At 42.3% G+C, this 15886-nt stretch overlaps 1 protein-coding gene across 1 annotated transcript, besides 3 other annotated features; it reads left to right on the forward strand.

The window, feature by feature from the left end:
* Window positions 10398-10898: an enhancer, noted in NCBI's record as "H3K27ac hESC enhancer chr11:6220268-6220768 (GRCh37/hg19 assembly coordinates)". NCBI's record gives its function as "activates a minimal SCP1, AML or CMV promoter by ChIP-STARR-seq in primed H9 embryonic stem cells {active_cell/tissue: H9 hESC(primed)}" and the evidence as "EXISTENCE:reporter gene assay evidence [ECO:0000049][PMID:30033119]".
* OR52W1 (olfactory receptor family 52 subfamily W member 1) lies at window positions 10584-11546 on the forward strand. Its single transcript, NM_001005178.1, has one exon. The coding sequence runs from the start codon at window positions 10584-10586 to the stop codon at window positions 11544-11546; it is 963 nt and encodes a 320-aa protein (NP_001005178.1).
* Window positions 10899-11399: an enhancer, noted in NCBI's record as "H3K27ac hESC enhancer chr11:6220769-6221269 (GRCh37/hg19 assembly coordinates)". NCBI's record gives its function as "activates a minimal SCP1, AML or CMV promoter by ChIP-STARR-seq in primed H9 embryonic stem cells {active_cell/tissue: H9 hESC(primed)}" and the evidence as "EXISTENCE:reporter gene assay evidence [ECO:0000049][PMID:30033119]".
* Window positions 12965-13165: a silencer, noted in NCBI's record as "peak1185 fragment used in MPRA reporter construct". NCBI's record gives its function as "represses an SCP1 promoter by STARR-seq MPRAs in K562 erythroleukemia cells {active_cell/tissue: K562}" and the evidence as "EXISTENCE:reporter gene assay evidence [ECO:0000049][PMID:32103011]".

Here is a 15886-nt window from a genome sequence, read left to right on the forward strand (position 1 = left end):
ACTCTCCCAAGACTAAACCAGGAAGAAGTTGAATCTCTGAATAGACCAATAACAGGAGCTGAAATTCTGGCAATAATCAACAGTTTACCAACCAAAAAGAGTCCAGGACCAGATGGATTCACAGCCGAATTCTACCAGAGGTACAAGGAGGAACTGGTACCATTCCTTCTGAAACTATTCCAATCAACAGAAAAAGAGGGAATCCTCCCTAACTCATTTTATGAGGCCAGCATCATTCTGATACCAAAGCCGGGCAGAGACACAACCAAAAAAGAGAATTTTAGACCAATATCCTTGATGAACATTGATGCAAAAATCCTCAATAAAATTCTGGCAAAATGAATCCAGCAGCACATCAAAAAGCTTATCCACCATGATCAAGTGGGCTTCATCCCTGGGATGCAAGGCTGGTTCAATATACGCAAATCAATAAATGGAATCCAGCATATAAACAGAGCCAAAGACAAAAACCACATGATTATCTCAATAGATGCAGAAAAAGCCTTTGACAAAATTCAACAACCCTTCATGCTAAAAACTCTCAATAAATTAGGTATTGATGGGACGTATTTCAAAATAATAAGAGCTATCTATGACAAACCCACAGCCAATATCATACTGAATGGGCAAAAACTGGAAGCATTCCCTTTGAAAACTGGCACAAGACAGGGATGCCCTCTCTCACCACTCCTATTCAACATAGTGTTGGAAGTTCTGGCCAGGGCAATTAGGCAGGAGAAGGAAATAAAGGGTATTCAATTCGGAAAAGAGGAAGTCAAATTGTCCCTGTTTGCAGATGACATGATTGTATATCTGGAAAACCCCATTGTCTCAGCCCAAAATCTCCTTAAGCTGATTGGCAACTTCAGCAAAGTCTCAGGATACAAAATCAATGTACAAAAGTCACAAGCATTCTTATACACCAACAACAGACAAACAGAGAGCCAAATCATGAGTGAACTCCCATTCACAATTGCTTCAAAGAGAATAAAATACCTAGGAATCCAACTTACAAGGGATGTGAAGGACCTCTTCAAGGAGAACTACAAACCACTGCTCAAGGAAATAAAAGAGGGTACAAACAAATGGAAGAACATTCCATGCTCATGGGTAGGAAGAATCAATATCGTGAAAATGGCCATACTGCCCAAGGTAATTTACAGATTCAATGCCATCCCCATCAAGCTACCAATGACTTTCTTCACAGAATTGGAAAAAACTACTTTAAAGTTCATATGGAACCAAAAAAGAGCCCGCATCGCCAAGGCAATCCTAAGCCAAAAGAACAAAGCTGGAGGCATCATACTACCTGACTTCAAACTATACTACAAGGCTACGGTAACCAAAACAGCATGGTACTGGTACCAAAACAGAGATATAGATCGATGGAACAGAACAGAGCCCTCAGAAATAACGACGCATATCTACAACTATCTGATCTTTGACAAACCTGAGAAAAACAAGCAATGGGGAAAGGATTCCCTATTTAATAAATGGTGCTGGGAAAACTGGCTAGCCATATGTAGAAAGCTGAAACTGGATCCCTTCCTTACACCTTATACAAAAATCAATTCAAGATCGATTAAAGACTTAAACGTTAGATCTAAAACCATAAAAACCCTAGAAGAAAACCTAGGCATTACCATTCAGGACATAGGCATGGGCAAGGACTTCATGTCCAAAACACCAAAAGCAATAGCAACAAAAGCCAAAATTGATAAATGGGATCTCATTAAACTAAAGAGCTTCTGCACAGCAAAAGAAACTACCATCAGAGTGAAGAGGCAACCTACAAAATGGGAGAAAATTTTCACAACCTACTCATCTGACAAAGGGCTAAAATATCCAGAATCTACAATGAACTCAAACAAATTTACAAGAAAAAAACAACCCCATCAAAAAGTGGGCGAAGGACATGAACAGACACTTCTCAAAAGAAGACATTTATGCAGCCAAAAAACACATGAAAAAATGCTCATCATCCCTGGCCATCAGAGAAATGCAAATCAAAACCACAATGAGATACCATCTCACACCAGTTAGAATGGCAATCATTAAAAAGTCAGGAAACAACAGGTGCTGGAGAGGATGTGGAGAAATAGGAACACTTTTACACTGTTGGTGGGACTGTAAACTAGTTCAACCATTGTGGAAGTCAGTGTGGTGATTCCTCAGGGATCTAGAACTAGAAATACCATTTGACCCAGCCATCCCATTACTGGGTATATACCCAAAGGACTATAAATCATGCTGCTATAAAGACACATGCACACGTATGTTTATTGCGGCATTATTCACAATAGCAAAGACTTGGAACCAACCCAAATGTCCAACAATGATAGACTGGATTAAGAAAATGTGGCACATATACACCATGGAATACTATGCAGCCATAAAAAATGATGAGTTCATGTCCTTTGCAGGGACATGGATGAAATTGGAAATCATCATTCTCAGTAAACTATTGCAAGAACAAAAAACCAAACACCGCATATTCTCACTCATAGGTGGGAACTGAACAATGAGATCACATGGACACAGGAAGGGGAATATCACACTCTGGGGACTGTGGTAGGGTGGGAGGAGGGGGGAGGGATAGCATTGGGAGATATACCTAATGCTAGATGACGAGTTGGTGGGTGCAGCGCACCAGCATGGCACATGTATACATATGTAACTAACCTGCACAATGTGCACATGTACCCTAAAACTTAAAGTATAATAAATACATAAATGAATAATAAAATTTTCTTTACATATCTTTATATTTTGGTTGCAGTAAATACTTGCAAAATTTGTATTTTCATGGACAATAAACAGTATTTTTAAATACATTTAAATGATTTGGAAAAAAGCAAACAACCTAATAAGATGAAAAGCAAAAAATAAGAATAGTATGAATATGACTGTAGGATGATTTTAGCACGGTGATGGTCAAATGTAACAAAATTTGCAAAATGAGGTAAATGCAGTTCTTCAAGGATGTTGTGGTGAGGGCCCAAGGAAAGAAGAAAGCTGAGAGGTTTCATGACAACAGGTGAAGCAGAAGAAACAAACATCAAATTGAAGAAGAAAACTCTGTGATGACATGTTGGCCAGAACTAAACAGTCTATGGAGTCCATATTCAGGCTCCATAGACTACCAAAAAACTCTATAATATTACCTTCTCCACACAAAAATGAAGAAGGATGGGCTAGGAACACATACACAAAGGTGGTTGGCCAATAGGGAAGTGGCAGTGACACATTGCAGACTTGAGTAATGTGAAAATGGACAAAGCTGACATTTGCAATAAATTCTCAGCCCTGGCCAGTGACACACTTGGAGTACAGCAACATCTATAGAGTGTCTTACATTGCTTTGAGTATGCAAGAGAAGCAAGAGGAGAAAAAGGATGCTGGCCAGGAAATTACAGAACTTTTCACTGACTCTTTAGGGAAGCTGAAAATCACAGTTGTAGACCTTTGGCAGGGAGGTTTGTATGACATAGAATTCACAATAGCAACTGCAAAGGGGAGGCAGAAAGTCCTAGCTGTATCATGGACAAAAAGCTATAATGGAAAAGATAAAGAAGATAATTATTTGGGTGGATGCAAGAATATTCAAATAAATTCAGAGGTCAGGAGAAACGCCATCTTATTTCCCGACAGATTGTAGGCAAAGCAATGTGGCTGCTCCTTCAACCCTGAAGGGTGCATTGTCTAGGGAAGGGAGGGGGAAATGCAGACTGAGGAGAAATGAAATTACCCAGGAGAGAAAAGTGAAAACCAACCTGATTTAGTTTTATGAAGCCCGTATAACCCTGACACTGCATAATCATTAAGAAAACTTGTTTAGAACTCACACTGACCTAAATTCAAATCAAGACACATTAGAAGTTTTGTGAAGTGAAGTAAGCCACCTATGCCTCAGCTATTTCATCTGTAAAATGGAAATAATAATAGTGTCTACCTCATAGGGATATTATATTGAATGAAATGATATGCATAGAGTGCCTGGCACAGTGCCTCACTCACAGTAAGTGTTCAATACATCATAAATTGGGAGGCAATACTAAGTGTTGTCAAGGTCTATACACTATAAAAAGAAAATATATAATACTGTCTTTATACCTCAGGGTAAGAAAAAATAAATAATATACAAAAACCACATGTCCTTGATGTGCTTTCAGCTAAAATTTAAATGTTCTGTAAGACAAATGAAACTATACATAAAATTAAAAGGCAACTAACTGGAAGGTGATATTTGCAACATCAAACAAAATGTTAGTATCTTGAATACATAGAGAATTTCTACAAATAAATACAAGGGAGAGGAATCCTAAATGACTAACAAATATATGAAAAAATATGTTAAAACGAGATAATACTTCTAATTAATTAAATTCACCTGAGCACCTGAACCAAAAAAAAGAAAGAAAAATAAAGATAAATCAGATTCACAAAAACATAAGAGTCTGATAATATAGTGTTTTCAAGGATATTTTAAACAACAGGATCTTTCATAAAATTGCTAGTGGGAATACAAATTGGAACAACTATTTTGCAGAGCAATTTGACAATACCTGCTAAAGATAAAAATGTACATGCCTTATGACCTAGCCATTCCAGTTCTAGTTATATGCTCAAGAGAAGCTTTCACATATGTGAAAATGGAGACATCTATAAAGATATCCATAGCAGTATACATAGCAAGATAACCAGAAACAATTTGCACTCTATCAGTGATAACTATTTGGCATAATCATATGCTACAGAACTACATAACAATTCAAAGGGATAATAAAGATCTGTTTATTCACATAAAAAGAACTCAAAAACTTAACTTGCTATATACAGTAGTAAATAATTTATGTAAACACTTAAAAGCACCAACTATTATAGCAAAAGCATTAAAAACCGAATCAGAAGAGTACACCCTAAATTCATGATAATTATTGTTTCTAAGGTGAGAGAATGAGGCACTACAGGGGATTAAAAAGATACATTTTTACCTGTAATTGTTACTGTCTTTATTAAAAAGGAATTGGAAGCAAGTAGGAAAAAGCGTTAATAACCGTCAGTTCTGGGTGTGTTGATACATGTGCATGTTCTTATTCTTTACACTTTTGTATCCACTTGTCACTTCTCGAAAATATGACAAAAAATAAAATACAAAAAAGCACATTATAGACCAGAGGATCAGTCATGAGGTTGCTGCAATATTCCACAATAAGGTTGTGAGGTGCAAAATAGGTCATATTATACTGGAGACAGAGAGGAGCCATATACAGGGCTCTTAAGCAGATAGGTCTTAGTGGCTGTTTGGATGTTTAGTTGGCTCAGGCTTCCATAACAAAATACCATAGACTGGGTGGCTTAAACAACAGACATTTCTTCCTCACAGTTCTGAAGGTCAGCAAGCCCAGGATCAAACTGCCAACAGATTAAGTTCCTAGTGAGGACTCTCTTACTGTTTACAGCGTGCTGTCTTCTCACTGTGTCCTCACACAGTGTGGGAGGAGAGACACAGAGTATATCTCTCTCTCTTCCCCTTCCTATAAAGACACTAATCCCATTCATGAGGGCCCAACCCTCATGACCTCATCTAACCCTAATTACCTCCTGAAGGTCTCATCTGCAAATACCATACCCTTGGGGGTTGTGGCTGGAACATGTGAATTTAGTAGGGGGACACCAACATAACAAATGTAATGATGAGAGAGGCTGTTTACCCATCTGCAGTACTTTGCTTGATATGTAGTGAGTTCTGAACAATGATTGCTGAATTCTGAGAATGACATTTGTACTTTTTGTGGTTGTAAGAGTCACCCATGCTATGTGAATTCAGAGGGAGGGAGATAATCATGGGAAAAGATAGAAGTGTTATCTATTACCTCAGAGAACAACATCAGGGAATTAATTTCTTGAGCAATAACCTCAACCCAATCTCAACAAGGTGAGTCACTTCAAAAGTCCTCTTCTAAATGCTAGAGAACCCTTACAGGGAACTACTTGTCTTCTATTTTTAAAAGTCATTGGAAGACCATCCCAGCAATGTTCTCCTCAGCCACTACTGGTCAGAGAGGCTTAGTCAAAAACATCTCTTGAAGGAATAGAATGATTTGCTAAGTTAAGAGAGTATCAGGGTCCTAACCCAATTTTACAGGTATAGCGTTGCCCCGGAAACAAAGATGGCAACTGTGACCTCCGCATGCATAGAGTCACTTCTATATATGGTCAAAGTTAGTGTCAGTCCCAGAGATTCTGGGATTGGAAGGAATGACCCTATTGCAGAGGAAGGAGACATGGATAAGGAGAGTAGACAAGATCGAAAGAGGTTTAATTAAAAACTAGATGTGATCTATTCCATACCCCTACCATAATCTGACTTCTGGAAGATCCTACTGTGATGGAGAGGGAGAACAATTCCCTTCTCAAATCTACAACCTCAATGCAAGCACATCTACTATCCTCCTAGGAACTGGGGATGCCCAGTGCTCCAGAGCTTTATGGAATACTAAGGACCTGCTCATGGAAGGGCTGGGAAGCATGAAGTAGAGGAGTAAAACTAATACTAGAAGAATGGGCATAGTGGTTCCACGACTCCTTCCACATCTCCATAGGGTAGGGCAAACCTGATCTTACAGGGTCTCTCTACCTCTCCTGAAACTGAGTGAAGGAGGCCTGGGCTACTATGCTACCATTAGTCACAAAAGGATCTCATACTGACCCAGGAATTGGGATTTGACAATTGAGTTTGCTTTAGTAGGTTTCCAGAAGAGGATTTAGTGCTGTACAACACCGCGAGGACCCAAGATTTCTGATCTGTAATCTATCATGTAAAGTAATAAGCTACTCATATGTGTTCTTGCTCATGGATCATTTTAAGCGGAAAACAATAGAACAGGCCCACATGGAGCCAGCTGTTATCTAAGAACCCTATTCTATAGATGTTGGTGGTAGCTGCACTAGCCAAAAATGTGAGAAAATCAGAGTCAGTCTCCAGACAGAACCCTCCTATCCTATTTTTCTTGTCAGTCTAACAGCAACTAAGAAATCCAACAAGCCTCCCCTCTCCCTACCCCACCCAACTCCTCACAGAGAGCTGACACCCTGCTCTGGGGAGCAGGCTCTGGTATATAGCCCCCAGATCACAGGTGTCAGATCCCCTCCTCTAATGGTCAACGTCACAGGAAAAGACCAGCCAGTTGGTTCCCAAGATGTGCTTAGATAGCTTCTATAAGTATGAACTGGAGCTTGGGAGACTAACCAAGGAACCTTCTAAAGACGAAGTCTATGATATCTCCCAGTGTATCTTGGATTACTGGAGAATGGGAAATGCATAACACAGTAGATTTCCAAGAACCCAATGACTTCAAATTTGGACTTTTTGGGCTTATGGATTCTGTAATTTACCTTACAAACAATCTTTGCACAAAGAGCAAGTGTCCAAGGCAGTCAAAAGTTCCATTAGTGTTCTCTTGAAGACAAGAGCACTTTTTCCTAACCCTCTCCTTCATGGCTCTTAACCGACTGCTCCCACCTGCTCAGTACTCCTCTCCTCCCTGAACTGATGACAGCTCACCATTTACTGCCACATAATTACAGCTCTTTGTACATCTCTCCATTCAGCAATCCTAGGATCACCTGCCAATCCCAAAATCTCCTGAACTCCTTCTCCCAGGAATGGGTGCATTTTGCTCCACCTATTCTAAAAACTCATGTTCTAAACCTCAGCTACAATTTTTGAGGTAGTGGCTAACAGCAAGTATGCTAGAGCCAGACAGAGTTAGTATCCTAACTCTGCTATTTACTAGCTATATGACCTTCCCCAAGTTAACGTCTGTCTCTTAGTTTCTTTTGTAAAATGGAAGAAAGAATTGTGCCCACCTCAAATGACTGTTGTGAGGTCAAGGCTTAGAGCAGTGCACGTACACAGGAAACCCCACAAGACTTTTAACCACTACTATGATTCAGACATTTCCCTGACTCCCCCAGCAAGAGTGAAAGTCTTCTTTCTCTGTGCTGCCATCGTATCTGGTATTGACTTGAGTTAAGGCAATTACTTTAACAACCCTTCGACAACTGTTTAGATCACTGTGTCCATTAGACTGTGAACTCCTTGAGAGCAGCAGGGTCTTGTTATTGCCACTGTATTCTCACCACATGACACAAGGCCAGGCAGAAAAGAGATTCAACTAGTTCTGCTATAATGCTAGTTTTAAAATACAAATTATTCAAAGACAATTGACATATGTATTAGGGGACTGAGAATAATGTGAATTTCGTGTTTGCTTGCATGTAACTCCACTTCCAAGAAAGTAGGTGAACCCAGAAAACTGAACCCAGCTGAACTGAGCTGAGTAAGAAAGCTCAACATGCACACATGCACACACCTCAAACATCGATCAGCTACTTCAGTTCACCACTTGCGTTATGAGCCACACCCATTCACATCTGGTATTACAACTTTCTGCCCAATTTCATTTTATTGGATTTATTTTTTAGAGACAGGGTCTTACTCTATCACCCAGGCTGGAGTGCATGGCATGATTATAGCTCACTGTAGCCTTGAACTCCTGGGATCAAGTGATCCTCCTGCCTCGGCCTCTCGAGTAGGTAGAAGTACCAGTGCACACCACTGTGGCTGGCTAATTTTTTTAATTTTTTTGTAGAGATGGGCTCTCACTGTGTTGCACGGACTGGTCTCCAACTCCTGGGCTCAAGTGATCTTCCTGTCTTGGCCTCCCAAAGTGCTGGGATTACAGGTGTGAGACACTGTGCCCAGCCCATCTTTTTTTCAAATGTGTCACTGATGAAGTTTTTGAGTGTTGTGCCCCTAACTTCATTTTTCCAATAGGCCCTGTGGTCTTTATTGTATGACTTTACATAGTGTGGTGAGTTTAAGTCTCCTTATAATAGAAAGAACTGTATTCAGTAGACTTGTGGTTGATGGTGAATAATTCTTTTTCTTCATGGATATCTAAAGCTCCTGAAACTGTAGGAGCCCCTATTAGTCAGCAAAAGCTGTTTGGACTAGCAGTCTGTCCCACACTTAAAAGCAATATATATTTATTCATAGCTAACTACATGCCAGACATTGTGGTAAGCAGTAGAGACACTGTAGCTAATAAAAAGCAATATCTGCAACTCTTTTTGTCTCGTGGGGAATTGAGAGACAAGAAATTACAACAGAGTGGGCTAGATGCTATTAAAGAATAAACCAAGGAATTTTCTCCCGGACTTCAGTGAGCCAGCAAAGACCTCCCTGAGAAAGTGTTCCTTGCCCAGATCTTTCCACCTGATAGTCTCTTTCCTGGCTTGCCCCCATCTCTGCCTCCTTACTCTACTTCCTGAGTCACCAGCCCATCAGCACTGAGCAAAGAGATACAAAACAGAGTTAATGTGGCACAGGTGGGAGGGAGAAAGGCCCTGAGGGAAGCAGGTAGAACAGCCACATAAAGAGCCCCACAGGCACTGATTAAAGCGAAGAGAAGCTGCCAACACACAGTGCTCGAGATCTTTCCCAGTCAAGCCTTCTGCTGGTGATTTCTTCCTCATTCATTTATCCATTCAACATGTATTAAGCTTCTTAGGTGGGCTGGATCCCACCTAAGTCAATCTACTTGTCCTGCCTCCTCCAATGTCAGAGATGCTTCTTCCTCAGATGGCTGCTACTCTGAGTTGAGTGCCATTTTCTCCCTCTATGTCACCTCCACTCGCTCTGGCATGCCAGGAATGAGACTCTAGTGGGACCCACTTTTGTACCGTGAAGAAGGAAAGGAAACGGAGAAGAAAAGTCCCGTTTCGTACTGCCATCTCTCTCTCTGTTGCTTCCCAGCCCCAACTTCAACTCTCCAGCTGGTGTTCAGCATCAAGTTCAGAACGTAAGCACCCTGCACCCCAAAAACCCAGCAAGTTTTCCCTTGCCACACCAAGCTCCCAGATTCACTCCAGATTCCATCTGCCTCCCACTACGGTTTCTCCCTTTCTTTATACTCTGCCTCCTCTCTTCCTGGATGGTTGGTGCTGAGAATGGGCAATTGCTCAGAGCTGGGCAAACCTTAATATCACTGTACCCACCAGGCCTATACAGCTGAAGAAGCTGAGGTCCAGAGATCTTGCCCAAGGATACACAGGCAGGGACAGGACAGCCGGAAGCCTGATTCCCCACCCTGCCCCCAGCACTGGCTTTCTCCTCATATAGAGACTGAGACTGACTCTATTTGGACCCTGAGGAAGAAAAGTATTCATCTCCACTCCACCCTCTGCTGACATCCAATTAGAAGGCTCTCTCAGGCTATCTATACCAACCACTGCAGCAGGCAGCCTCTTCCTCACTACCCCTTCCTCCCACTACAATACATATAGACTTTTAGGAGCAAAGGATTCTCCTATCTTAGCTAGAATTGCGACCTTAATTATCCATCCAAACCCCCCTAACCAAAAGTTATAAACCTGTGATCCTCCCAGCCCTGCACTACTCCTACACGTATGCCATGGATGGGTTTGTGCCACTGTGAGACCCCCAAAATCTCTCCCCTTATCTTCCCTGTCAGGAGTCATGCCCCCATGAGCCCTCAAGTTGTGCCCACCACAGAATGGCAGAAACTCTACAACTCAATTCCACCTTCCTACACCCAAACTTCTTCATACTGACTGGCTTTCCAGGGCTAGGAAGTGCCCAGACTTGGCTGACACTGGTCTTTGGGCCCATTTATCTGCTGGCCCTGCTGGGCAATGGAGCACTGCCGGCAGTGGTGTGGATAGACTCCACACTGCACCAGCCCATGTTTCTACTGTTGGCCATCCTGGCAGCCACAGACCTGGGCTTAGCCACATCTATAGCCCCAGGGTTGCTGGCTGTGCTGTGGCTTGGGCCCCGATCTGTGCCATATGCTGTGTGCCTGGTCCAGATGTTCTTTGTACATGCACTGACTGCCATGGAATCAGGTGTGCTTTTGGCCATGGCCTGTGATCGTGCTGCGGCAATAGGGCGTCCACTGCACTACCCTGTCCTGGTCACCAAAGCCTGTGTGGGTTATGCAGCCTTGGCCCTGGCACTGAAAGCTGTGGCTATTGTTGTACCTTTCCCACTGCTGGTGGCAAAGTTTGAGCACTTCCAAGCCAAGACCATAGGCCATACCTATTGTGCACACATGGCAGTGGTAGAACTGGTGGTGGGTAACACACAGGCCACCAACTTATATGGTCTGGCACTTTCACTGGCCATCTCAGGTATGGATATTCTGGGTATCACTGGCTCCTATGGACTCATTGCCCATGCTGTGCTGCAGCTACCTACCCGGGAGGCCCATGCCAAGGCCTTTGGTACATGTAGTTCTCACATCTGTGTCATTCTGGCCTTCTACATACCTGGTCTCTTCTCCTACCTCACACACCGCTTTGGTCATCACACTGTCCCAAAGCCTGTGCACATCCTTCTCTCCAACATCTACTTGCTGCTGCCACCTGCCCTCAACCCCCTCATCTATGGGGCCCGCACCAAGCAGATCAGAGACCGACTCCTGGAAACCTTCACATTCAGAAAAAGCCCGTTGTAATGTCCAGTGGTAACAATGGAGCCTAAGAGTGGAGGTGAGGGGACAATCGGAGGGGAGTCTGGGGGTGTGGATCATGTTATTTTCATCCCACTGCATATGACTGTTATCATCATTTAACAGGTACTTGCTGTGGAGTCCCTATGTGCAACACTGGCATCTGTAGACTTTGACTTAAACATGTATTCTGCTTGGGAGGAGGCAGGAGGTAGAGGTCAGGGGGCTACACTACCATGCAGGAAAAATTAGTGAAGGACCATAATAAACAAGATCTAACAACTCCCTTTCCTGCTCCCCACCTCCATTATTTCAACCTAAGTCTGCCCACGTTTCCACACAAAAGCTCCTCTATAGATCCCAAACTTGAGGGAAGTGCTTGGCACTGCCGCAGAGGGTGGCGCTGTCCCTGGAGTCAAGTGCTTGGGCACCCGTCTGAAATCACAGCCCTCTCTACTCCTGGAGCCAGATTCTGTTTTCAGACTGCCCTCAGGAAACGAGTTCTACAGGCTCATCTCCTGCCTTCCGATAAACTAAATAATGTGCCCTGTGGTACCAATTTGGCCACTTCAAATTCAAAGAATCCTCTTTTGGTCTCATGTGTAATTACTATTCTTCCTTCCCCCAACTCCCACCAAAGCCCCCAAAATTAACAGCTGTAACTTCTTCCCCTGTGACTGCAGCTGCAGAGGTCAGGGGTCCACTGAAAGAAATGTTGATATCCCAGAAAATCACTGCAGCCACATCATCTGATTGCCTGAGGCTGAATTACTATGGTTTCTTGTCAATCTGCCCTTCTGTGCACCCTCAACAAGAAGGTATAATCCCCAGATAAAATCCCCATAGGCACCCCCATTTGTCTTGGCCAACATCATTAGAAGCACATGATGTTAGTGCAATATGATGAAATGAAACATTTCACACTTCTGTAACTGTCAGGGCAGCAAGAACAGGAAGTGCGGTGGTGTTGCCCAACAGGGGATTCATTTTCAGCTAAGACACCACACTGGAAGGGACATTACATAACAAAGGTCTTTAATACTATCACGGAGCTTACAATAAGTATAATCTGACAGAAGGCAGGGAGTCACCGTTATGAGATCAGAAAAAGCTGCAGACTGCAAAGGCAAACCCAAGCTCTCCAGGAAAACGATCATAACCACAGGTATTAGAGTTAGCCATGAAAACCTGAAGCCAGGAGCAACCCAGTCCACTCAGCACAGATAGCTGGACCAAGATGGACCACGGAACACCACACAGAAGAGGAGACTGCAGATCAGAAAAAGCAGATGATGCCATCTCCGGTGCCACACTGGGTCTTAGCAGGTCATCAATAACAAGGACTAAAGAGCCCAGAAGCTCTGTATCATTTTCACAGGCATCATCACACTGCATGCAAGTAGATACAGAGGAAATCTACAGTCAACCTAAGTGTGTGCTCATTCATTCTCAAGACTAATTTTTTTCATGAAGTTCTGGGTTTAACTGGCCTCCAAGCAATGATTTTGCAGATAACTGTGACACAATTCTAATCCTAATGAGTCACAAGTCTTGAAGATGTTCGTATCATTCTCTTACTCTAAATTCCCCTTTATTGCAGTGAGCTGTGATCACACCACTGCACTCCAGCCTGGTGACAGTGAGACCTTGTCTCAAAAATATATAAGTTCCCCCTTAATAAATCTATCCTAAGAAAATAATTGAGATGTGAACAAGCATATATGCAGTAAAATATTTATTGATTATAAATAAATATATGTATGATAATCCTGCGTCTCACATACATACAGGTATACCATTTTTTGCCTTTCCCCTCTGATACATGAAAGGGAAATCATCTGCAGCCAACGTTCATAAACAATGAATTCTGTCACCCTCCCACCACAGGAAGACTCTCTTCTAAGGCACCTTCAACCCCTGGTTGTGCACAACTTTTCAAGGTAGCTGGTTCCAGAGCTGTACGTTGTCCATTGTAGCAACTTTCTTCCTTCAAGCTAAAAATCCACTCCCTTGGACATTTGTATCTTGTTCCAAATTGAGATTGCATACATACCTACCATATGATGTGTTTCAAGAGCTTTACCACACTCTCATTCCTCATGACAACCTGAGAATTAATTATAAGCCCACAATCCCTCATCCATAATTCCAAAATAAAACTCTGAAGAAACAATATTTTTTTATAACTTTGGCCCAAAAGCTGACATCTCAACCATCATGATCCTATTTATAATCTTTATTTATCTTATTTAGTGTAAATGTTCATACATCTAACTTCAGAAATGTTGATGTTTGATTATAGGGCACTGTCCTGAATCCCACTGGGGTATTCCTTAATATATGATATATATATATCATATTCCTTTTCTATAATCTGAAAAAAACTGAATTCCAAAATATCTGTCCCTAAAAGTTTCAAATAAGGTGTGAGGGGTCTGTGTGATTATCCTTGAAGTCTGAGAGACATGAAGAGACTTGTTAGGGCTCTTTATCACTCTAAAGTCTTTGCTGTCAATACTATTCTATACTGCCCTACAGGTTCATACTGAGAACCTCGTGTTCTCTGGATAAAAAGATCCATCTGTTTATTCCCCCCATGCTCTCCATTCAGACCACCCTCAGATACCCTGCAGATGGTCTGTCTCTCATGCCATACCAGAGGCAAATCCTATAAGCAGGATATGGCCCAAAGAGCGCAGCCCTTAGGCTCATGATCTCCATCCAGGACCAAGTAGTCATCCATTTTCCTTCAGTAACTTTTAGTTTCAGTCTCTCTCTGAGTCAAAAGGAAAGACCGACTTACTTAGTGTTGGGGTAGATCAGTAGGGAATTTAGGGATCCTAGGGAATCATGATAATCAGGCAGCAGAAGAATGTATGGGCTTCTAACTGAGAAGTAATCAGTCAGAAGTTTTCAGTCACAATTTCCCCTGTGAGCCCCTCTCCCAAAAGTCCTAAAGAGATCCTCCTCGTCCTTTTTTTTTTTTTTGTATAAATTTGAAGGGTACAAGTGCAATTCTGCTATATGCATAGACTGCATAGTGGTAAAGTCACCACAGTCCACCATCCCTGCACCTACCTCATCCCTCCCCTTCTCATTCTGGAATCCCCTCGGGATCTGGATGTACACCATTCTCTATCAGTCACTCTCATTGTCTCTGTACCACTGCATCTCTGTCTCCTTGCACCATTTGTCAGTTTTATCCCATATCTATGTCTCTTGTCCTTGTGTATGTCTCTCTCTTGCTCTATCTCCACCTGCCTCACTCAGAATTCTTTCCTGGAGAGAACAGAGGTGCAGCTATACTACACCAGGTGACCTCTTTTTGTCAACCATAATCAAAATGTGCTAAAGGAAGGAATTTGGTTTCACTTGTCTTAATAAGAAACTTGGGGTTTCTGATTCGGCCCATCGTGGCTCCTCTCTTATCCTGCCCATTTCCTTTTCACTAAACCACTTGGTACTTTCCATCTGGCAGACACTCCTCCCACCACACACTAAAGTGAGCCAAAGGAACGTGTTGGTTAAAGGTTCAGTCAAGCAGACTTTTACCTGAATCCTAGATCCTCTATAAACTCACTCTATATGCTTTGGAGTAATTATTCAACCTCTCTGAACCTGTTTCTTTGCTTGTAAAATGAGATAATAGTAGTAACTACTTCAAGAGGATACCAAATGGATTAATATAATGAATTCAAAGTATTTTGCACAGCTCCTAGCACAAAAGAGCTCAATATTAATATTTGGCATAATTCCTCTCCTGGAAATGTTTGATATTAATTCCTCTCTGGAAAATAGGACCACACCCACTGTAAAACCTTTGCTCAAAGACCCAGCACCCATATTCATAGCTTTATCTAAGGAGACCTGCCCTCCCGAGGCCAGTTACATCTCCTTTAGGAAAATTTTACTAACACTCTTTCCCACCACTGCAGGACCTTTGCCTATGCCCCCACTCATACCACCTCAGCCAGCTCCGATGACAGCCAACTTTGTGGGACTGCTCTACAGAGCTATGCCGGGCTGGGCTAGGGGAGGATACCTCCTACACACAAGAGGTATTCCTGGGCACAAAGGAGACTCTCCAGAGGGACTCAGAGAAAGGACTCCTTGAACAGATAAGGTACGGAGTAGAAAAGTTAACTACAGGAAAGGCTCTCTAGAATGGTTCTTCTTTAGCAAAACACAGTTGAGATCTCTGGACAAAGACGCAAAGGAGATAACACATAGCTAATATTCCAGCTCTTATCTAGCTACTAGGCACAAATCAGACTAGGACAGGGAGTGGAGCATGAAGAAATTTTTTCTCAAATTTACCTGGGTAATTCTGGCTTCCTGAAAATTCT

This window comes from Homo sapiens, chromosome 11 (assembly GCF_000001405.40).
Source record: "Homo sapiens chromosome 11, GRCh38.p14 Primary Assembly".
In the NCBI taxonomy this organism is placed as follows: Eukaryota; Metazoa; Chordata; class Mammalia; order Primates; family Hominidae; genus Homo; species Homo sapiens.

Excerpts from the sequence above, each read along its gene's own strand:
- OR52W1 (NM_001005178.1), top strand. The coding sequence starts at position 10,584 with ATGGCAGAAACTCTACAACTCAATTCCACCTTCCTACACCCAAACTTC.